General features: G+C 33.3%; 2 long non-coding RNA genes across 3 annotated transcripts in view; one reads left to right on the top strand and one right to left on the bottom strand.

Moving 5' to 3' along the window:
* Positions 1-6,268: 6,268 nt before the first annotated feature.
* The window catches only part of LOC105374191 (uncharacterized), a 237,185-nt gene continuing 218,935 nt past the window's right edge, over positions 6,269-24,518 (bottom strand). Inside the window, exon 4 of one of the 2 annotated variants that reach the window (XR_001740998.2) lies at positions 6,269-6,512. This is a non-coding gene — a long non-coding RNA (uncharacterized LOC105374191). Of the gene's footprint in view, positions 6,513-11,264; positions 11,658-24,518 lie in introns of those variants that run through there. The other variant, XR_001740999.3, reaches the window with a different exon arrangement.
* Positions 8,089-23,266, top strand: LINC01323 (long intergenic non-protein coding RNA 1323). Its single transcript, NR_189166.1, has 4 exons — positions 8,089-8,116; positions 8,858-8,941; positions 10,239-10,323; positions 22,909-23,266. It is a non-coding gene; the product is annotated as a long intergenic non-protein coding RNA 1323 (long non-coding RNA).

Below are 24,518 nucleotides of genomic sequence, written 5' to 3'. Positions count from 1 at the left end.
ATAGTGACATGAAGTAAGTGATTATTGAAGCCACTGCAAAATTCCAAAAGGAGAGAGCAATTTAAAGAGGCAAGTTGTGAGAATCCAGCAATCAGCCTGTTGGTGTTTGAGAGGTTTAGGAGAAAGGTTATCAGAGACTAACCTATGAGTTTAGGCAGAACTCAGATGGAGACTCTCAGTACGTGGAGCTAGGAGTCAGTGTAGAGATGACATTGATGAAAGAAAGGGAATTATCATTTGCACAAATAGACCAGAAACAAAGTGGAATTAATGTGGGCTCACTTGAGCTATTAAACTGGAACTTATTAAAGATCAACCTAATTATGTCAAAGAGTCCCTGAAATCTAAAAGGTGGTGATCCTAAGGGAAAAGATGAAGTTAAATTCCTAGAGTAACAGAACAATTTAAAAGGCAAGAAGTCATAAAGATCTTAACACCAATAGGAATTTATTTTCAATGTGAAAATATTTTCAATCAATATAAAGTACACTTGAATGCTCTGTTTCTGTAGTAGCAAGATACTTGATGGAGGGGAGCAGGTGTCAGAAAAGTACATGGTAGGAGATAAAAAAGGGCTAAAGATAAATTAGTGTTTGGTGAAAAAAAATTAAAACTATAATACATGAAAACAAGAGAAAGGAGAAGAAAAAAAGAATGATTTCTCTTCTAGGGAATTTGAAAATATTCTGTATGCTGTCAGGTGTTTTTGATAAGTCAGGGATGTAAAATTGCCGTTAAATCCAGTAAACAACCAGGCTTTGACTTCCCTTTTGGCCCCAGGTGGACCCGAGGTGTTTGAATGACCCTGAGTAGAATGAACTACCTTATTAAGAAGATACCAAAATAGGGCCCAGGCGCGGTGGCTCACGCCTGTAATCCCAGCACTTTGGGAGGCCGAGGCGGGCGGATCATGAGGCCAGGAGATCGAGACTCATTCTGGCTAACACGGTGAAACCAAGTCTCTACTATAAACACACAAAAAATTAGCCGGGAGTGGTGGCGGGTGCCTGTAGTCCCAGCTACTCGGGAGGCTGAGGCAGGAGAATGGCGTGAACCTGGGAGGTGGAGCTTGCAGTGAGCCGAGATGGCGCCACTGCAGTCCAGCCTGGGTGACAGAGTGAGACTCAATCAAAAAAAAAATAATAAAATAAAATACCACCAAAATAGGAGATAATGTTTTCACGGATAGAAATATTGGAAGAATGGAAAGACTGAAAAAAAACGAAATCAGTCTTTTATCTACTTCTTAAAGCATTTCTATGCTATTGTGCATTTCAAGGTGTTTTCCTTCATTAAAACATTAAAATAATTCTATGCCTGTAGCAGTGTAAGGATGTATGTGTCAGATGTGATATGGTCCACTTTTCAATGATTATGACAGATATTCCCTATATAACACATTCACAAAATCCAGTGTATTTGTTTCTTATTCCAAGTTTCCCTATGTATAAATAGGAGGAACAGAGACTGAAAAAGTGAGAAAATAATCATGATAAAAAATTAATCTATACTAATAAAAGGATCATAAAGTCACCTGAAAGTTTTGAGCATAAAATGTTTAATTTCTATCAAACACTATATTCTTCATGAAATCTTTGCTATTTTATTTGAAAAATTAATACAAAATGTTCTCTTGAAAAATAATTTTTCTTACACTTAACTGTTTTTTTGTGATTTCTTATTGTACTTACTTATTTCACACACTGTGGTCAGCAAATAATGGCCCTTAGACATACCCATACCCTAATCTTCAGGACATGGCAAAAGAGATTTTTACGGTTGTAGTTAAGATAAATACCTTGAAATAGGAAGAAGAACCTGGATTACCCAGTTCAGTCAAATCTAATCACATGGATTCTTAAAGGCAGAGAACCTTTTTTGGCTTCAGGGAACCAGAGAGATGGCATTCTGAGAATGATTCTACCCACCGTTGTTGGCTTTGACGATGGAAGAATGGTCACTAGGTAAGGAATGTGAGTGGCTTCTAGAAGTGGAAAAAGGCAGGCAAATGATTCTTTTCTAAGCCTCCAGAAGGAATGCAGCCTAGCTGACACCCTGAATTTTATTAAGTGGGTTCACATCAGACGTCTAACCTACTGAAAGCTAAATTAATAAATTGTTTTACTTTAAGCCACCAAGTTTGTGCTAATTTGTTACATCACCCAAAGGGAAATAATATATACAAACGCAATGATGTATTTATCTGTTCAGAAAGTTAACAGTTGAGAGAAATAAATAATAAAATGAAACTAATGAAGGAGGAAATAAAGTTTAATAGAACCCTCTGAGCAAGAATTTAGAATTCTAATAATAAACAAGAGCTTTTTTTTTAGTTCTTTTGTCATTGAGATGGAATTAAGTTCATTCTTTCATTGCATTTACATTTTATCCCCTCAATATAATTCTAGTATGTGTAAGTAATTCTTTATTACTTCCCATAGATTCCATGCAAAAAATATATTCTGTAGCTGTAAGTGTGCATTTATTATCAATTAGCCAATATAAAGAGTTACACGAAGACTGTAATTTATGTCTTTTATGTTAACCCAATTAAAAAAATACACTTTGGTTCTGAAAGCTTTTTGTAAATTAAGATAAGCAAACTTTCAGAAAATACACTTAACTTCCAGACCTGTCTAAATAAGATGATTAAATACATTTCTTTAGGTTGCCAGATTGTGGCCAATTATCAGCAGGTATGAACTCAGATCACATTTTATTTATCATCAAAGTCACACATATTATGTGAGAAAGTGTGAAAAGTACTATTATGATCGGCCATCAACTGTGGATCAATTCTGCATTACATCAAATCACAAGACATCATGATGAAAAAGGATTTTATGTTAGATCACTATTCACTCAAATAATAATATGAATCATCACAATTTTTATCACAGGAGCTTCTCTTTTGCAATAACACAATTATTGGTGCAGTGTTAAGCACATTATCAGAATTCTTTTTTTTTTCTTTTTCTTTTTTTTTTTGAGATGGAGTCTGGCTGTGTCACCCAGGCCGAAGTGCAGTGGCGCGACCTCGGCTCACTTCAACCTCCGCCTCCTGGGTTCAAGCGATTCTCCTGCTTCGGCCTCCCGAGTAGCTGGGATTACAGGCACCCACCACCATGCCTGGCTAATTTTTGTATTTTTAGTAGAGATGGGGTTTCGCCATGTTGGCCAGGCTGGTTTTTAACTCCTGATCTCAGGTGATCTGTCTGCCTCGGCCTCCCAAAGTGCTGGGATTACAGGCGTGAGCCACCTTGCCCGGCTTATCTGAATTCTTAATAATCATGGCAATCCATGAAAGTTGCAAGAGGGCAAGCGTCTTTTTCTCTGTTCTGTTATTTGAACAGTATCTGCCACTATATGGTATCCAATAATTTTTTTTATGAATAAAAAATTGGCTCAGTAGTGTTGGTTGTTTTTTAATCATTTTATCCCAGTACAGAAAAGGAAACTGAGACTTAAGGAGTTTAAAGTTATTCTGTCATTTGCAACAGAAGCAGGATTTGATTCCAGTTAGTTTGTTCCAGTATCCAGACAGTTTAACACTATATAGAACTTGATACTACTAATGCCAGTTTAAATAGAGATTGAGCCAAATGCCTACTGTGTGGCTCATATTTCTAGTATATTTCTAGGAAATACATAGGTCTCTTCAATTTAGTACTTTAAGATTATTTAGTCTTTCATTTGTTTGTTTGTTTATAGAACAGGATCAACTTCAAGTAACATTTTCCTGTCAACTTTTGTAAACATCTAGATTATTTAGCTTCTCAATCCAAATTCATCCAGAAGCCTCAAACTCCTACTTTACTTTTAAGTTGTTGGGAGAAATATTTTACTCAAAATTGGGTCTATAAAATTTGATGGAGATACACTTTGTTTTTATCATTTGTGGGAAAAAAAATCAAGTGACTGTGAAGGAAACAATTTTTCTTCTTTCATTGATGTTTCATTCCCCTCCACTCTTTAAGTTTGGCTACAGTATTATAAAGACACTTTAAAAATATGTTAATATCTTAAAGTGCCATACTCATAATACTGCCATAAACTACTGCTATAGATCTTAAGAGTTATAGTAATTTTATGTCAGTTTTCTTTTTCTTTGTTCTCTAGTAGTGAAGTCTGAAGGCTTTTCATTGCCATTATTATCCTGGTTAATATGGCAAAGCTGAATCACAAAACTATGAAGAATAACTTATTGCTGCTAGTGTATTATATTCCATTAATATGTCAGTACAAAGAAACGATGACAAATTGATTTATTTTTATGATTTGAGGATTTGTCAAACTCCAAAAGAGGTTTACAAGTAGCTTCTTCAAAATGTAAGAAACACATAAGGAAGTGTTTCTAACAGTCAATTATTTTCACAGGAAGTTTAGTGGATCCATTGCACAACCTCTGTCCAGAGTAAATGCATTGGAGAAACCCATGTAAGAATGTAATGTGATGGTCAGTTCCTTTGTCTCTTTGGATTACCATCTAGTCTGAGATCATAGGTTAATTTTTTCACGAGATCATTCTACTAGTTATTTAAGAGAAACTCAGAGTTTTGTGGGCTTGCCTTTTTAGACTTGGATGTGACATGAACCAAATAACACCTAGATGGTAGTTAATGAATAATATAGTATAACAGTGATATTACTAGAAAATACTACTAAGTATATACAGGTAGGTAGTCATCAACTCTAAAAGAAAATGTTGGAGCTATTAGAACTTTTCACGTAACCATTTTTAATAGTTCCTTTCATCTTCTCAGATTTGTGCCCTGTAAAGATGAAAACAATAAGGTTAAAATATAACATTCTTCTTATTACAATTGCAAACCATGTCAAGTTCCATAGTATTTGATAAGTTATTGAAAGTAATATTGAGTTGCCAGTCAGAGCATGGTGACAATAACATTGTCCTTGCAAAAAATCTTGTCAATCAGCATTAAACAATTTTAAATTGTAAATGCTAACTGAGAATATGCCATTCATTCCAAGTTTGGCTATTATTTGTTGAAAGAATAAGGCAAATAAAAGGGCACTAGTATATATCCTGTGAAAATATGCACATATCAAAATTTGCTTGATTTACCCAATAAATTATTTAAGATTAAAATTTAGTCAAGAGCAATAGAAACTATATGTATAAACACAATAAACAATAATACTTTTAGGGAAAAGATTATATTCATTTAATTATTCAATAGAAAAAATGTATTTAATTATTTAATAGGCATTTATTGAGAAACTTCTTTGACTGTATGTCTCACCCTGATTAAAAGGAGAATAAAAAGATATATAGTTACGTTCCAAGAACATTCTACTTTGAGGAAAATAATACAAAAGTAAAAATACAAGTTAATACAAAATTAATATTTTTAAATCTTCAGCCTTGGAAAATTCAGCTTTAGTGACATTCTACTAAGGTACACATAAACACAAACTTTGTGTCATTTTTGCTCCATGACATTTATTTTATTTCTTCTCTTCTGCATTAGCTCACTGTAGTTTTACCCTTTATTCCATCAATCATTTATACTGTTTTATATATGTGTATATATACTTACATCCCTCTTTGTACCAAGCACTAGGCTAGTCACTGGGTCTATGATAATAAAGACCCTGTGCCTTTATGGGTTTTACTGTGTGATGGAGGAGATGAAATTAATCTTAAATAAATAAATTATAAAAAAATTGAGTTAAGTTCGTTAAAGGGAGAGAGCAAAATGTTAAAAAGAGAGTGGTTGTTTTTAGATTTTAAAGACCTTGAAAACTTATATCCCTGCTAAGCCCTGAGTTCTGAGTTCTTTATTTACATACACCTTATCAGTCATAAATATTTTTTCCTGTGCCTCAAATCTAAATACAACACTATTTAGGATTAAAAAGTGTAAGAATTTTCAGGTGCAGTGGTGGTGGACTCCTGTAGTCCCAGCTACTTAGGAGTCTAAGATAGGAGAATTGCTTAAGCCCAGGAGTTCCAGTTCAGCCTGGGAAACACAGAGAGACCCCGTCCCTCAAAAAGTAAATAAATAAATAAATAAATAAATAAATAAATAATTACAAACCATTCATGCAAAATAACACACAGCAATGATTTCTGATATCTATTAATAAATCAGTGGTATTAGTAGTCATTAATACAGTGTAATAGGAGGAAGATTTTTTTTCTCTTATTGGAGCCATTAGAATAACCTCAAGGAAAGGAATTTGTTGTGAATGTAGCTGCACCTGCAAGCAATTTAGAAATTTGATAAAGGCAGAAGAAAAGTGATACTTGAACATACAAAATTTATTATTTTATTTCAATAAAACCAAATCATGTATTAATATAACAACAAATACAACAACACTTAAAATATTTTTGATATTTTGGAAACTTAGTTTTGCTTTCTGAAGTTAAATCTCAGGCAATTATGTCTGTTCTGCTTGCTTGTCAGTTTTCTCATTTTGGAGCATCATATTAAATGTACGAGGCAGCAAATGTAGTGACGGAAGAATCTAAAACTGATTCTTTTCTGAAAGACAGGCAAAGTGATTGATTCATTACACTCAAACTCAAAACAAACAGAAGATATCATATGTCCCATGCAAAATATGGCTACTTGAGCTGCAAAAACACTTGATATTGTAAGCAATTGGACAGGAGACAGCAAATTTCTGTGTCTCAACGTTCCCGTCTAAATAGGCATTTCTGTTTCTTCCATGTTTTGTGGAGCTCTGTAAGAACAAAATGAGCCTTTGTATAGTCATGAACATGATTGAGCCTTCGTATCATATGACCATGATTGTCAGTTACTCATGCCTGGCACTCTTACTGCCCCCTAATTAGATTGGGCCCAACTTTAGAGAGTCCTTCACAAACACTGTGTTCTTGTGGGGACAAAGTTGCCTGGCATTAAACCCTATTTGGTCAAATAAATTTCAATTAATTATCACTTTTCAATAGTACATAATGCTGACTAGAATTTGAAAATCTAGTGTTTTTACATCTTCTTGTTTACAACAGAGGAAAAATAAGAAAAAATAACTATTCTACAATGGGTGATTGGTTTAATAAATTACAGCAAATGTATGAGACTGAAAACAAAGGTATGGAATAATATGGCATAGAAAGATATTTACAATGTAAAAGTTAATGAACAAGAACAATACTATATTGTACTTAAATATAATAATATCCCACTAGTATGATTTAAATGAGGAAAAAAATGGAAACAAATACGTGGTCCAGAAACTTGATGGTGAATCTTAATATATCACAGAATTATATGGCTTCATGTAATTGAAAACCCTAGTAACAGTGTTTTGGAATTTGGTGTGGGGGGCTTAGATTTCAATTTACTTGAAAATGTTAAGCTTTTTGAAGGTATAATTGATATACAAAAATTACACATATTATAATATATGCATTTTAATTATTTTAGACCTATGCATACACCCATTACAGCATTACCACAATCAAGTAACTAAACATATGCATCACCTCCAAAATTTTTCTTCTGTTCTTTCTGTGTACCTGTGTGTGTATGGTAAGAACACCTAACATGAAATCTATTCTCTTAACACATTTTTCAGTGAACAAATCTGTATTGTTAACTATACTCATCTGGTAGGATTACTATAATAAAAAAATAAATGTGGCAAGGATGTAGAGAAATTGAAACTCTTGTATACTATTGGTGAAAATGTAGGATGATACAGCCACTGTAAAAGACAGTATCTGAGTTTCTTTGAAAATTAAAAATAGACTTGCCATGTGATCCAGCAATCCCACTACTGAGTACATTTCTATTATAAAATAATTGAAATCAGACTCTGGAAGAGATATCTGTATCCCCATGTTTATTGAAGCAGCATTCACAGTGGCGATAATATGGAAACAAACCAAATGCCCATAAACAGACGGTTAAAGAAAATGTAGTGTACATACACAGTAGAATGTTGTTTAGACTTTAGAAAAGAAGGAAAAATGCTGCGATTTGTGACAATATAGATGAACCTAGAGGATACTGTGATAAGTGAAATAAGCCAAAAACAGTGATTTAAATGCTTTTGTTTTTATTGTTAGAGACTCACATTGACAATCTAAGGCTTGTAAAGAAGCACCATAACATTACAGGTCAGTTAATTTCTATATTTACTTTTTGCCATCATGGCTTTGATCTCCAGTGTGATCTCATTTTTCAGATGGTTGCTGAAGCTCTGGCGATCTTATCTACATATTGGGTAGGAACTGAAGAGGAAGGGCAAAAAGAACATACTTTCCAGCTAAAGCAGCCATCTTTAAAGGGTTTTTCTAAAGTTCTTTACAAATGTATGTGAAGTGTATAAAGAAAAATTAAATAAAGTCACAATCTTTTTGTGACCAGAATTGTTATATTTATGGGGTGCAAGTATGTTTTTATATTGTTATCAAAACACTGAAAATGAAAATATTTGGATGACATCAAAATGCTCTGCCAAAGACTGATATTGCAAGAAAAAATAAAAATGAGCTTAAGAAACAGACTGACTTGTTTTGAGATTAAATAGTGACAAAAAATGTCAGTTTTATAAAAATATATTTCAAAAATTATATTATTTTAGATGGCAGAGTGATTTATTGCTTTATTTTCTTTATCTCACCTATCTCATCTTACCAGTTGGGACTTCCATTTCTGCACTGGAGAATATGTTTAAACATATGTATATATAAAATTGAATTTAAATTTAATGGTATATAAATTTTTATATAATATATATTATATATAAATTTCAAATATATCTATTTTAACAGAAATACTTTATATTTATTGGTTGTATAGATAGGCAAACATTAGTTTCTACTAAAAGAAGACTGAGGCTACATTTAATATTTCAGAAACAGACATGAGATACGACGCTGTAGTGAAGAACCTCCATATTCCATCAATCCAGATTGGAAGAAGACAAAGAACACAAGACCGTAACTGATTCGTTTTCTTCACATTGCATAATGCACATTGCTATTAGTAGGTGCTTTATAGGGTAGCACAAATTCTCTTCAAGCAAATATAATCCTTCCCACCCCGCAACACACACCATTAATATGTTCAGATGCTTACAATTTTCTGTACTGTATTTTCTTTGGTTTAAAACTTTGACTCCAGATAATCATTTTGAAAGATTACACATTACCTAGGAAATTCTAAATCTCCAATTTATCTTTTGTCTAACACCTACTATCCATCTTTCCTACTACTATTTCTGCTCAAGCTGTATTCTTCCCCTTACGGGTGGTCTCATTTCTTCACTAACCTGATTAAATGTCTATAATGGCACCAAAGTTATCTTTCCCTGTCATCTAGTAAATGCTTACTGAATAAAACTGAAACCTATTTTTAACACTTATCTTTGTACATTTGAGCTATATGAAACAGTTACTTGTTGTGTTTCCTAAGGTTTACTTTCTAGTGTTCAAGTTTTCATATGCTTCAGAATTATCTGGGGACCATGTTAATGCAGAGATTACTAGTCTATGATCCCCGAATTTTTTTACCTCGTTGGTCTAGACTGGGCTCAAGATTTTGCATTTCTTTTCTTTTTTTTGTTTGTTTGTTTTTGCTTTTTGAGACAGAGTCTTGCTCTGTTGCCCAGGCTGGAATGCAGTGACGTGATCTGGGCTCACTCCAAGCTCCGCCTCCCAGGTTCACGCCATTCTCCTGCCTCAGCCTCCCCAGTGGCTGGGACTACAGGCACCCGCCACCACACCCGGCTAATTTGTATTTGTAGTAGAGACGGAGTTTCACCATGTTATCCAGGATGGTCTCGATCTCCTGACCTCGTGATCCGCCCGCCTCGGCCTCCCAAAGTGCTGGGATTACAGGCGTGAGCCACCGCGCTGGGCCAAGATTTTGCATTTCTAGTAAATTCCTATATGATGCTGATAATCTATACTGGGGAGCACAATTTGAGAGCCATCTCTTTGAACATTCTTCCAAACATCTCTAAGTATACAACTTTGGTCTTGCTGTTCTTGCTGCCTGTATTGCTTTTCTTTCCTTTTTTAATTAAAAGGGGGTCAGATGGCATTTTCTTTAAAAAAAAGTCCTAATTTTTCTAGGAAAATTTTGTTTCTCCTTTCTTTGTTCTCATAACAAATAAGTCTTTTTTCCTACAACACTTTGACAACTACCTGTGACATAATTAGTCGTTATCTCTTATTACAATTATTTATGTATATAACTATCATTTCCTGATAGATTTTAATACATCTCTTTTAGGAAACTGAATCCTTGGGTATGTTCTGGAATAAACCTGGATTCCTAGGGAGAAAAGAGATCCCTGAAATGAAAATTGCCGTAAGGAGTAAGTGTGGCAACAAAATCAGATGGTATCTTGTGGCTTGACTTCTTGACCTGGACATTGCTTTAGGATAAACGTGAAGCTGAATTTGGTAATACCTGACTGTGCAATCTCCACCCCTTCCACTGTTGTCCACAGGCCTAAAGATAACAGAGTATAAGATGTGTGGAATGTGGAGCATTTGGTGTTTAGAAAGCAAAAGCCATGTTATACCTCAAGAACACCAGAATAATTCTGAAGAAAAGTTTTGATGACAGAGATAGCATCAATTTATACTCGGTGATATTTATTCACACTACTCTATATTGGGGCTGTCTTTCTCAGCCAAGCAGATATTTACCCAAATGTATTTTAACACATGAAATACATATATAGATATATCCTACCATAGTAGAATTTCAGGCCTGAGAAATCAGACAGTGTATGAATTTTTAGATTAAATCTCATGGAGGAGCTAAAAACTCCTAGTAGTATAGAAGAAGAGTATGGCAAAAAATGAAACTATATTTATTACTAAATTTCAATATATTTTGTATTTTTTAGAAAAGAGAAATGTTGACAAAATGGAGTATAATAAGTGTTTTTGCTAGGCACACTTTAAAATTTAGAATAAAATTGGCAGCAGAGATATTGAGCTGGGATTGTATCCTCTTCAATGTTAAAAAATAACATTTCTTGTGATGTAAATTAAAATTCAAGGATGTTTTATTATTATTAATACACAATCAGCAGACAGAAAGATTGTTTTACATGTGAATTTTTAAAAGATGGCTTTAAAAATATGGGCAAATGAAAAACTTCAAGGAACGTAACTCTAAAATATAATTTTTCCACATATAGCAGAAGGATTTATTAATACAGGGTTCAAGTCACATAAAGTTTTCTTGTACAATTTTTCATATTCTAATTGGGTAACAAACATTTTTGCTTTTGCTATTTTCCTTTTTTTGTGTTGTTTTGTTTCAATTATTTGCATATGCCATACAAAACTTTTCTGTTAAACATAGCTCTTCTATCTGTAAAATTATGTTTGCCGCTCTGCTTTTTAAATTGAATTTTCTCTTCTCCAGTGGTTACAGACTGGGGTGCCAAGTGAGAACTAAGATTTTTTTCTGAGTCTACTTTTCTCAGAATAATTTTTTACAGATGAGAATGAAGTGGTATAATTAGTGAATAATTACAAATATAATTTTTACAAAGTAGATTGGTATATTTACCTACATTTATTTTTTAAAGCGCTGAACTCCCCATTTCTTTTCACAACCAGTGGGGATTTTTGGATTCCCGTACCAGTTCCCGCAGGTATGATTTACTTTCCTCTGCCGTTGGTAATGCTTCTATGGTAATATTTAAAGAGAGGTTTAAACAGTATCTTTCTTTGTTCATCTAGAGACCTTTCTTCAAATCAAATTAGAGGTGACCTTTCTAAAATACAAATGCTGTCAAGCCATTTAAAATCCTTAAATGGCACTACATCTCATAAAGCATAAAGTCCGTGGTACTTTGCAGACTATGCCAGTCCCTCACTAAGCAGTTCCTTCCCATTTACTTAGACACATGACCAACCATTCCCCCAAACACACCTATACAGTGGTAAATATGTGAAGACATTCTGAGTGTGTCCGGTGTTTTATGTCTCCCTGAGTTTTCACAAGCTCTTTTCTGTTCCCTTTTGTTCTCTCTTTACACTCTTCCATTTTAGTAGATTCCTATTGATTTCCCAATATTCTGCTCACATTAACACTTTTGTAGTCTGCTAGGTAGGGTCAGTGTGATCTCTTCTTGTTTTCTCTGATGTTTTTGTCATAGAAAATTCAGTTATAGCACTTATGTCATCTTGTTATAATTCTTGTTTTCTGGAAATAAGTGCAAAAAATTGGCCAATAGTGTGTAGTGCAACAATACAGATGAATAAACTACTTTAGCTACCCAATCCTTAATTATCATTGTGAAGATAGCTATCCTATTTTAACTTTATTGCCACTAATAAAATAAATTTTCTTACAATGAAATGACAGAATTTTGACCCAAAATGTCTGTACCAAATTTGTTTTATTGTTTATTCAGTAAAACATTAGTATTGATTGTATTTGTATCACATTGTAGTCTTCAATTTTAAGACACCTATTTAGAAATAAGGAATTACATTTCCCTTATAATACTCTCCCTAAATAGAAATCCACCATCTGGAGTTTAAGAGGGTTATTTGACTCCCACCTGGGGTTTAAGAAAGTCATTTGAGATCAACTCATAAATATTACTATATCATAAAATATACACCCACATTTTAGAAATAATGGTGCTATTTCAATTAGGACTAAACCAGTATTTCTTTTTATAAGAAATTAATCTGTAGGTGTAGTAACAACATGCATCTCCTTTGTTTACTCTTTTGGTGTAAGCACCTCCAGACATTGCAATCATTGTTGTGTGGTTCAGTTCTGTCAATTATTTTTCTACTTCTTCATAGGAGAGGATATTGCTCTATACAGGAGTGGTAGATTTATATGTCTGATTGCTCTTTCTTGTCATTCCTTTATTCATCCATACATTCATCTATTCACTGGCATATTTATTACCTACCATGTACCCATCACTCTGCTAGGTACTTTAATATTTAAAAAGTCATACAATTTCTCTACCCACATGTAGCTTAACCTCCACTGGAGGAAAATTACAATCAGAAATAAATTTATAACATTAATTCAGAAACTGCCATAGAGTAGTTGGAGTGACAGAACTACTAGCTTACGAGGGTAATTTTAGATAGTCATCAGGGAAGGACTTTCTGAGGAGGTGGCATTCAGCCAGAGACTTACATGAACTGAATAAGTGAGCTGAAATGTTTCCAATTGTATTTCTCACAGGCAACTCAAAATGGAACTTTTAATTTCTCTTTTCAGACATGCTGCCAGCCACTGTACTTGGTCATCTCAGTGGATGCTACTATCATTCACCAATGTGTGTTAGAATCATGTATGTCATCTTTTATGCCTACCTATTCCACCCTTAGATTTATTTACCTTGAATCTTACCACCTTTCTCCAAGTCCGCTGTTGCAACCCCAGCACAGTACATCATCCTCTTGCAGAAGTGAGGCTGCAAGAGCTCCCGAAAGTTCTGACAACAGCCAGGCTGGACCCCTCTTATCTCCTTTCTGTACTATGTACTGAATTTTATTGAACTTTAATCAGTGCATGTGAATCTCTCCTGTTTAAAGATGGCCCCTTGTTCTTATGATCAGGATACAACTCTTGCAGGGGCTACAAGCCATGATGCTCTAGCCACAGCCTTTCTCTTCATCCTGGTCACACAAGCTCCCTTTGCTCTTTTCTTTGTAGCCACATTGGCCTCTTTTAACTTCCTTGAGCTTATACTTCCTCCGGTCACAAGATAATTGTATAGCTATATTTCTTATTTAGAAAATATTTTCCTTCTCTCTCAATCAAGCTAACTTGTATTCATTTTAAGATTTCAGGATAAATTTCACTTCTGCACTCATCTTCTTTAACACCCCTGACTAGGTCAATATTCTTATTGTAAAGCCCAGAGCTTCATAGTGCTTGCCTGGGATCAGATGCATTTATATTTGTTTGCATGATGAAATGTTACTCTTTCTTTCTCACTGATTCTAAGTTTTTCAAAGGTGCATGCTACACACATTTTTTTTTCCAAAATTGTTTTACTAGTAAATTAATATTTATTCATTGAATGAAATAACTAATTAATGAATTTATTAGTGGAATTCCTTTCCAGCTCTCTCCCCTTGCCTACCACAATTCATATGCATTGTCTTTTTTTTCTTTCTGACAATTTCTAGGCTCTTTTACTACGGGGCTTTTGAACATGCTATTGTCTCTGTCTGGAGAAATTTTTGAATTATGAGTTCTTTTTGCTTTTCTTGTCTTAGTTTAATTAACACCTTCACAGAGAAGGCTTTCCAACTCAACCTCTTCAGTGTTGTAGACCTAATTTTCTGCTTGTCTCTTTCAAAAACTGTATTAATTTTATAAACACAGAATTAATTTGTATTTCTTTTTAATTTATGTTGTTAATTAGACTGTGAGTTCTGCAGTGGCTGAGATCATGTCTCTTTTGGGCACAATTGAATCCTCAGTGATAAGCACAGTGGTTCATGACTATTAGGCAATAATGTTTTGATTGAATCAGTAAGTTTTTAAAAAGCACAGTAAAACAATAAAGTATTTGAGAAATACAGCTTATTAAATTTCACATTACTCCCCCTGCAAAAATCCAATATTTTAGTACAGGGATTGTTTATAAGAAAGCAGCATACATATGAAACATGCCCAGGTTTTCCACAGATGCTAGTTTCACACTAAGTCCCACAATTAATCACATTCAAAGTCTCTTGTAGCTGCTTGGAGATTTTTCCATTACTAAATCCACAAGAATTTAAGTCTTGATCCACACAGGTGTTCGTATGTGTCTTTCCCTGCTTCTCTCTCTCAGGCCCTTATTACTAGTAAACAAACCACACTTCTTAACCAGCCTCCATTCCAAAGGATTTTCTGTCTTGTTCAGAAAACTCTCTCAACACCCCATCAAACTGATGGAAATCGGATATATATATATATATATATATATATATATATGCTATTGTTTTGTTTTAAAGTGTTTTTCTTTTAATGATTCATCTTAATGTTTACCAAATATATTCTCATCCCTTTTCCTCTCCCTAAAGTTATTTAAGTGGAAATAAAGGCCTCATTATTTTATCACAGTGATCAGAGATGAAACGTGTGCATTTAAGAGTTCTGTGTTTTTGAGCACATAATTTAGTTTTTCATTCTACATTGAACATCAGAGATAGGAAATGCGTTACCTAAAAGAGGATTTATCTTCATCTACTGTGCAAACATACTCAATTATTAATATTAAACTTTCTAACAAATTAAATAGAAATGTTCCTTTTCATTTCTTCTCAGTATATGCTAAACAATATGGTGATAATAAAACTAATGTTAAGCCACTCCAGTGCTTTTCTGTTTATGTTATAGTCAGGTGTAACTGTTGAACAAGAAATGTTCATAATCCCACCAATCACCATGAAAGATCTCTTTAACTTAGTTAGTAGACATTACTGAAATTACTTTAAAAGTATTGTTAACACCTGCATGTCCTCATGTAAATTACATGCATATTGTTTTATTCTAGATTTGCACTTTCCATACTGAATAATAAATGAAATTTTGAGGTAACACAAGTTATTTCACAGTATGCATTAAAGTATCACACATTTAAGTAAACCAGTATTAGCGTTCTGTACTTGATATTGCTTTCTCTTATGCACAGAAAGAAAGTATGTTATGTTGCTTACCCAGGTGATATGTTTTCCAGGCTTCACGTTTATACATGCTGGAAAATGGCAAGAAAAATATGTAGGGAACAATATCTATCCCTATATAGACATCATGCATTCTATAAACAAATGCCTTTGAACCAAGTAATTTAAGAGAACATTTATGTTTATGGTGAGAGTTAACTACTAAAACACTATTTAGCTATAAAGAGGGGTGACAGGCAAATGTAAGAAAAAGGCCTATTTAATTTGTCAGGATGTAAGTAGACTTCTTTTCACATTTGAACTTTTTATTTTGAAATAACATTTGGTTGGTTTAAAGAGTTGCAAAGAGATTACAGAGAGTTTCTCTACTCACTTCACTCAGTTTTTCCTGAGGTTAACATTTTGCATAACCATGGATTCTTTAACAATACAAGAAATTAATAATGGTACAATGTTAAGGTACAAACTAGGACTTCATTTAGATTTCAGCAGTTTTCCCACTGTTATCCTTTGATATATCTGTGATCCAATCTAGGACACAATACTGTATTTAATCATATCTTCTTATTGTCCTCTAATTTTTTTTTGGAAGATTTTTTAATTTCATGAATAATGGTAATGATTTTTTTTAATTATTATACTTTAAGTTTTAGGGTACATGTGCACAATGTGCAGGTTAGTTACATATGTATACATGTGCCATGCTGGTGTGCTGCACCCATTAACTTGTCATCTTCTAATTTTTGAGAATTTCTCAGTCTTGTCTTTTATAACTGAAGATTACTGATCAGATATCTTGTAGAATGTCTTTCAGTTTGGGTTTGCCTGATGTTTTGTCAAGATTGAACTAGGTATATAGATTTTGGAAAATAATGTAACACAGGTAAAGTGCCCTTCTCGCGACCCATATCAGAAGTTACATGATATCACTATTAATACTGGAAACGTTAAATTTGATCATTTGGTTAAGGTAGTGTCTGCCAAGTTTTTTCACTGTTTTCGTTAGTATTGTTTTCCTTTCCACAATCTATTCATAAACAGTGAGTCACCAAATCCAGTTTACATTCAAGAAGATAAGAATTAACTTCTATCTTCATAGGGAAGAATTATCAAAGAATTTGTGGACATGTGCTAAAATTATCATATTAATTAATTAGTTTGCTGATAGAGAGAGTCTGAGAATATGCAAATATCCTATTTCTTCTTAACAGTTATCAGTCGGTCCTGCCCGCAGCAACTTTTATTATGGAGTTCTAGTGGTGAATTTTTATTTTCTTCATTCCTCCTACGATTATTATTTGGAATTCATTTGTAAGAATTTTTTTATTTCTCCTGAATGTATACATTTATTCAATCGTTTATGTCATTGTGGACTTATGAATATTTCTTTCTTTCTTAGGGTTTGAATCCAACACTATTATGTATTTTATTACTTAAATTGTTTCAGCTTTGATCACTGGGGACACTCAAACTGCTGCTTGTATATTTTACTTACATGTTATTTCTTTTAGCAATTTATCACTTTTTGGCCCTAAAATGTGCTTCAGGGCCCTAAAATAAGCCATTTTCCCAAGGAAATTTTGTCCTTTTATTGAAGAGTGGTATGAAGAAATCAAGACCAGGTACTATGTATGTTCTTTGCTACTAAGGTCTTGTTGTGAGTCCTTGCCAGCATTTGGTGTAATTTACACACACACACACACACACACACACTCATAATTATAGCTATTCTAATAAGGATGAAGTTAGAGCTCATTATGATTTTAATTTGCTGAATTTAGTTGAAAATCATATGACTAAGTACACTTCAAGGATATTTTAGCTACATGTTACTTTTTCCAAAATTAATTCTTTCAGATTGTCACTACATGAAGCATTTTATAATTATCAGCTTACTGAATAAAATGGTACTTGAAGACTTAAGAATGTGTCTAAGAGCAGTATCTCTCTGTTGCTATGCTACCATTACTTCTAACCCATATTCTTTAATTTTAATTTTTCATAATTTTTAGATTATTTCCTTTGCTGTTCTTTTTTCAAAGGTAGACATCTGGCCAAACCAGATAGAGTTATTTTATCATAAACTGTAGTTTGAACTTACATAGCAAGTATTTTATTGAGGGTTTGACAGGTTTCTAAAGCTTAATGAATATAATTTTTGTTTTATATAAAAATTTATTTATTTAAAAATTCTATTTAAGATTTGTTTTGGAAAAATTACTTTGCCCACATTTACATTCTTAATTGAAACAGTATAATCAGAATGAAAAGACCAAAAATACAAGGAAAACCTATTTAAAAATTTAGAATTAAAACAAAACTTTTGTAAGACCCAAATTTATCTATAAATTTTTTTCCTCATACTTTTAAGTCAAGACCTGACTTAAATTTTTTATTATTTGTGTGAGGTTAGTTTGAGTTTTCTACATTGAAGTTTTTTCTACAACTGATAATATTAACTAACATTGTTAATTAATGTTCATAAAAAAGCCAATTTTTAAATAAAAGAATGCTTTTCTCAGTTTAAAGAACTTAGATTCCTTACTTTTTCCACAATTTTATACTATATCCTTTGAATTCTAGTACTTTAAGATAAATAATTTTTATTCTCATATAATACTTGTATTCCTATGCTTCATGGGAAACTTTTTAAATATACATAACTTTGGTTGTCTACTATTTCAATAGGAAACATCTCCCTAGGAGTAAACTCTAAAAGAGTAAATTTTTAATGAAAATATAATTATGGCTCTGATACAAATAAAAAAAAACTTGCCAATGATTTTATTTAATAATTGTTTAGAAAGCCAGCAAGATGTTACAATGGATTCCAAAGATAATTCAGTTTTACATCTACACCCACAGACATGGAGAGGAGTTGGGACAGGTTAGAGAGTGGGAAGTAAAGATTGCTGATATGAATTTACAAATAAATGCAAAACTACGTTGAGGGTCCGGAATTATATTTCCTTCAATATAAATAATTAATTTGCGTATCTTTGTGAAAGAACAATTCAACTGGCACTGCTATCAACAATCTACAACTTACAGAACTACAAAATTGCTCAAAAATAATAAAAGGCAGGGATCTCTGTTTGGTTGATTGATAGGCAAGATACATACAGAGCTTACCTTCTTTCTCTGTCTTTTGGTTTTTTTATTTCAAAGAAGGATCTGGCCCCTTGTGATTCAGTCCATGGATAAAATTACTTTTGATTAAACAAAATTCGAATTAAATTCTTTCTTTACTACAACACCATGGTGTCAGTGGGCTGATTCTTGTCAGTGCAGTAGGCAGAAAGAACCTATCAGTGATTACATAAGTTTCTGTGGCACCTCTTTCTGCATATTGAAATATCTACAAATTTTTTTTGTTTCTTCACAAATGAATTAATATCTAGTAAAGATATAAATGTCTTAATGCCAAACTTTCTCTATTAAATCTCAGTAAACATTGCTTTTAGTCTGTTATTCGCATGTTGGGAGAGAAGAACAAGGGCAAGTAGGATACCTATTATTTTGTACATAAAATAAAAATGGATTTTTCTTCCGTGATTGTATTTTTATTCTAAAACTTGACCATTAAATTTGGCTATATATAAAAGTAGATACCTTTTTTTTCAATAATTTTGCCTGAAATGTATTTCTCTATTAGCTTGATAAATTTAAAAATATTCATCATTTTTATCTCAAAAAGCTTTCTTATATTTCTAATAATTTTCATCTCCTTGGTATTCTGTTCTCTCTTATAAGAATGTCTTTTATATTTTATTTTTATTTTTATTCATTTTATTATTTTATTTATTTATTTTGAGTCAGAGTATCACTCTGTCACCCAGGCCAAAGTGCAGTGGTGCAATCTCGGCTCAATGCAAGCTCTGTCTCCCAGGTTCAAGCGATTCTCCTGCCTCAGCCTCCCGAGTAGCTGGGACTACAGGTGTGTGCTACCACGCCTGGCTAATTTTTGGATTTTTAGTAATGACAGGGTTTCAACGTGTTAGCCAGGATGGTCTCGATCTCTTGACCTCATGATCTGTCCACCTCGGCCTCCCAAAGTGCTGGGATTACAGGCGTGAGCCACCGCTCCTTGGCCTCTTCTTTCTTAATTGAATAGGTATGTTTTCTGTATTCATAATATTTTTAAATCAAATTTTTATTTTCTTTATTATGTGGGAGTAAATTGTAAATTTTCATATTTATTATTTATTCATGAATAAATTAATGTTACTACCATTATTATTATTCAGTCGAGTGTTTATAACTGCAAAGTAGTTTTTAAATTTAGATGCCATGTTTTAAATTTTAAACTTTCTGTTTCCATACAAAATCACTAGCAATTAATTCAAGGTGTGGATAAATTAAATATTTATTTTTTTCAAAAAAGCAGAATTCAAGAGTCACATTCAGTTTTTTTTATAAGTTGAATTAGAGCTCCAACAATACCCTTTATACACAGACATTCGTCTTAAAAAGAAGTAGATGATTTTTTATTACTAACTTACAGATGAAATGAAAGTATGAAGGCAAGGTGGACTAGCTTCTTCTTCAATAAAAATGCAGGGTCCCCTGCTGGGAAAGAAGAGGATCACACTCTACTGTGGACAAATGAGCTACACATTAAATAATGGCGGGGTCTAACTTTAGTAACATGATCATCTATATAGTATCAGAACTTTTTGACATTGAACAAGTAGGAAGTCTTAATGAATATAAAATGCATTTGGTTACATGTTATTTCAAAGCCCAAGAAACTGAAAAAAAACCTGGACTTAAAGATAATGTCCAGCTTCAGCTCTGACAGATGAAGAACTTGGACATTGTCATTCCCATCCTTACAACCAAGAAAGGGAGATAAATTGAAAATCAATTATGTTTAAGTTGTCAGGTAAACCAGCATTACAAAATTTGGAGACACAAAGTCTCACAGGGACATAATCAAGATCTGCTTACCTGGAGCAGAAGGTACAGAGAGCACTTAAATGGTAGTTTTGATGAATTATTGGAGGCTGATTTTAAACTAGTGTGAGAGTGAGAAATTTGTGGGGTACCTGCTCTTCAGGGTTACTTTCACTTTTGTGAGTTTTACCTCCAAGAACCTTAACATTTTCCACTTAACATTTTTTCAACCTGACAAAAAATGTCATGTCTTTGTCAGGGATAAGGGGAAAGTAGTGATTGTAAAATAAACCTAAAACTTGTGTGTGTGTGTGTTTTTTTAAAGGCTTGTACTGCAGGTTAAAAATAATTTTACAGAGCTTTATCCCAGTGGGGGAAGGTGTATTCTTCCAATCCAGTCACATATATTTATGTCATTTCATCTAAGGGAGTGGAGAAACATAGTCAAAAAGGTTTGGGATTAAAGGAAATAGATTGAGAATGTTATAGCTAAGGATGGAGCTAATGGGCATGAGAAACAAAGCTTTACAACTCAGGAAATATTTGTGACAGTCATAGCTCAGAGACAGAGGCTTATAAAACACTGAAATTTAAATAGAAGATGAAAGAATATTCCCTTCCTTCACACTTTAACATCACACTAACTGGGCTCCAGTCTAATACCAGCCAAATATGATCTAAAGCACAGATTCTTGCCGAGTAGAATTGATTAATAAAGTCTAAATTGGAGAAAGGAGACAAAAATAAGGACACTAGAGGAATTTGAAAGCTCAAGCCCTTATAACTACATATAGGAAACATTAAACACAGCCTGACTCCTACTAAGGTTACGGTAAATCTTCATGCTAAAGACCTTTTTACCTTATGTTTGTTCTTAGTCCCTAATGTAACATGTTCAGGTTTTAAGAAAAAAAAATACAGGACATGACAAAAAGCAGCGAAAACACAGTCGATCTATAATATAGAAATGATCAGAACCTGACATATGTTGGACTTATCGGACAAAGAATATAAAATAGCTATGATGAACATGTTAAGGACTATAATGAAAAAAGTAGATTAAAAGACAAGATGTGCAATTTAAGCCGAGAAATGGAATCTATAAGAAAAAATCATAAGGAAATGCAAGAATTGAAAAACACAGTAAAGTGATTGAAGAAGGCTTTCAATGGCCTCATTATTGGACATAACACAGTCAAACAAATAATTGGTGAGCTTAGTTCAACCAAAATTTCTCCAACTGAATTGCAAATACAAAAAATAAAAAAAGAAAAAAAGAAAAAAGAAAGAAAAAAGTACCAGAATAGAACATTCAGGAAATGCAGGACAATTTCAAAAGATGTAACATATGCACAATTCAAATATAAAAAGAATAGAGAACAGAGTGGAGCACATGAGAAGAAAAAATACACAAACACACACAAACAAAAAAAATCTAGGCATATAATAGTCAACCTGAAAAACATAAAGTCAAAGAGAAAATCCTGAAAGAATTCAGAGGGGTGAGAACAACTTAATTAATGATAAAGAAGCATACATATTATACCTCAATTGTTGTCAGAAGCCGTGCAAGCCAAAAGTGAGTGGAATAAATTTTTTAAAGTCTTGAAAGAAGAAACAACACAATCTAGAATTCTATATCAAGCTAAACTATTCTTTAAAAATGAAGGAGATATAAGGACTTTCTTAGACAAATTAAACTGAGAGAATGAATTACCAGCAGACCTGCCTGGCAATAAATGCTAACAAACACTGTTCTAGCAGAAGTAAAACGGTATAATCAGTCATTTTGATCTACATTTAAAAAGAAGAGCATCAGAGATAGAAAAAATGCGGGTTAAATAATGTAATTTATTGGTTTTATTTGTAATTGATCTAAAATATGTTTAAAGTAATATTTACTAATAAAATATGTGTACTGAATGATTATACCACATGGCAAAATGAAGTGAATGACAGCAGTATCACAAAAGATGGGGGAAATTAAGAATATTCTGTGTATCACTGAAGGTACTCTATGGGGGAAACCATAAAATATGCATATCTATCTATCTATCTATCTATCTATCTATCTATCTATCTATACATAGAGAGAGAGGGAGAGAGAGAGAAATAGATTTATTATGAAGGATTGGCTCATGTATTATCAAGATGGAGAAGTCTCATGATATGCTGTCCACAAGCTGGAGGCCCAAGAAAGTTGTTGATATAGTTTCAGTCCAAGACCAAAGGCTTGAGAACCAGAGGAGTTAATGGTGTGAGTCCCAGTCTGAGTCTGAAGGTCTGAGAACCTGAAGGTCCTGATTTCCAACGGTAAAAGAAAATGAATGTGCCAGCTCAAGCAGAGAGAAAAAATTCACCCTTGATTTTTTTTTTCTATTCAGGCCCTGAAAAAATGGGATAATGCCTACCTACATTGGTGAGAGTGATGTTTACTCAGTCTACTGAATCAAATACCAATCTCTTCTGGAAATACTATCAGAGACACACCAAGAAACAACATTTTACCAGCGATCGGAGCATCCCTTAGCCCAGTCAAATTGACCCATTAAATAAGCCCTCACACTCTGCTATAAGGCATCTGCACTACACATAAATTGATATTGTTATATGAAGGTAGGCTTATATTTGTTAAAAATGTACAAAATTTACATTATAGATTTGATGGTAAATACCAAAAGATTTAATAAGGAAACAAAACTGATTAAAGAAACAACATAAAATCAAATGAAATGGTCAGTAAATTAATTTTTTTAATATACTTTAAATTCTGGGATACATGTGCAGAACATAAAGGCTTGTTATATAGGTATACACATGACATGGTGGTTTGCTGCACCCATCAACACATCATCTACATTAAGTATTTCTCTTAATGTTATCCCTCTCCTAGCCCCCCAACCCCTGACAGGCCCCGGTGTGTGGTGTTCCCCTCCCTTTGTCCATGTGTTCTCAATGTTCAACTCCCACTTATGTGGGAGAACATGCGGTGTTTGGTTTTCTGTTCCTGTGTTAGTTTGCTGAGAATGATGGTTTCCAGCTTCATCCATGTCCCTGAAAAGGACATGAACTCACCCTTTTTTATGGCTGAATAGTATTCCATGGTTTATATGTGCTACATTTTCTTTATCTGGTCTATCTTTGATGGGCATTTGGGTTGTTTTCAAGTCTTTGCTATTGTAAACAGTGCCACAATAAACATATGTGTGTATGTGTCTTTATAGTGGAATCATTTATAATCCTTTGGGTATATATCCAGTAATAGGATTTCTGGGTCAAAGGGTATTTCTGGTTCTAGATCCTTGAGGCATTGCCACACTGTCTTCCACAATGGCTGAACTAATTTACACTCCCACCAACAGTGTAAAAGCATTCCTATTTCTCCACATCCTCTCCAGCATCTGTTTTTTCCTGGCTTTTTAATGATCGCCATTCTAACTGGCATGAGATGCTATCTCACTGCGGTTTTGATTTGTATTTCTCTAATGACCAGAGATGATGACCTTTTTTTCCTATGTTTGCTGGCCGCATAAATGTCTTCTTTTGAGAAATGTCTGTACATATCCTTTGCCCATATTTTGATGGGGTTGTTCATATTTTCTTGTAAATTTGTTAAGTTCCTTTTAAATTCTGGATATTAGTTCTTTGTCAGATGGATAGATTGCAAAATTTTTTTCCCATTCTGTAGGTTGCCTATTCACTCTGGTGATAGTTTCTTTTGCTGTGCAGAAGCTCTTTAGTTTAATTAGATCCCATTTGTCAATTTTGGCTTTTATTGTCATTGCTCTTGGTGTTTTATTCATGAAGTCTTTGCCCATGCCTATATCCTGAATGATATTGCCTAGGTTTTCTTCCAGGATTTTTATGGTTTTAGATCTTACATTTAAGTCTTTAATCCATCTTGAGTTAATTTTTGTGTAAGGTATAAGGAAGGCGTCCAGTTTCAGTTTTCTGCATATGGATAGCCAGTTTTCCCAACACCATTTGTTAAATT

Source organism: Homo sapiens, chromosome 3 (assembly GCF_000001405.40).
Source record: "Homo sapiens chromosome 3, GRCh38.p14 Primary Assembly".
NCBI lineage: Eukaryota > Metazoa > Chordata > Mammalia > Primates > Hominidae > Homo > Homo sapiens.
The sequence above is the reverse complement of the archived record's forward strand: the minus strand, read 5'-3'. Positions and strand labels throughout refer to the sequence as shown.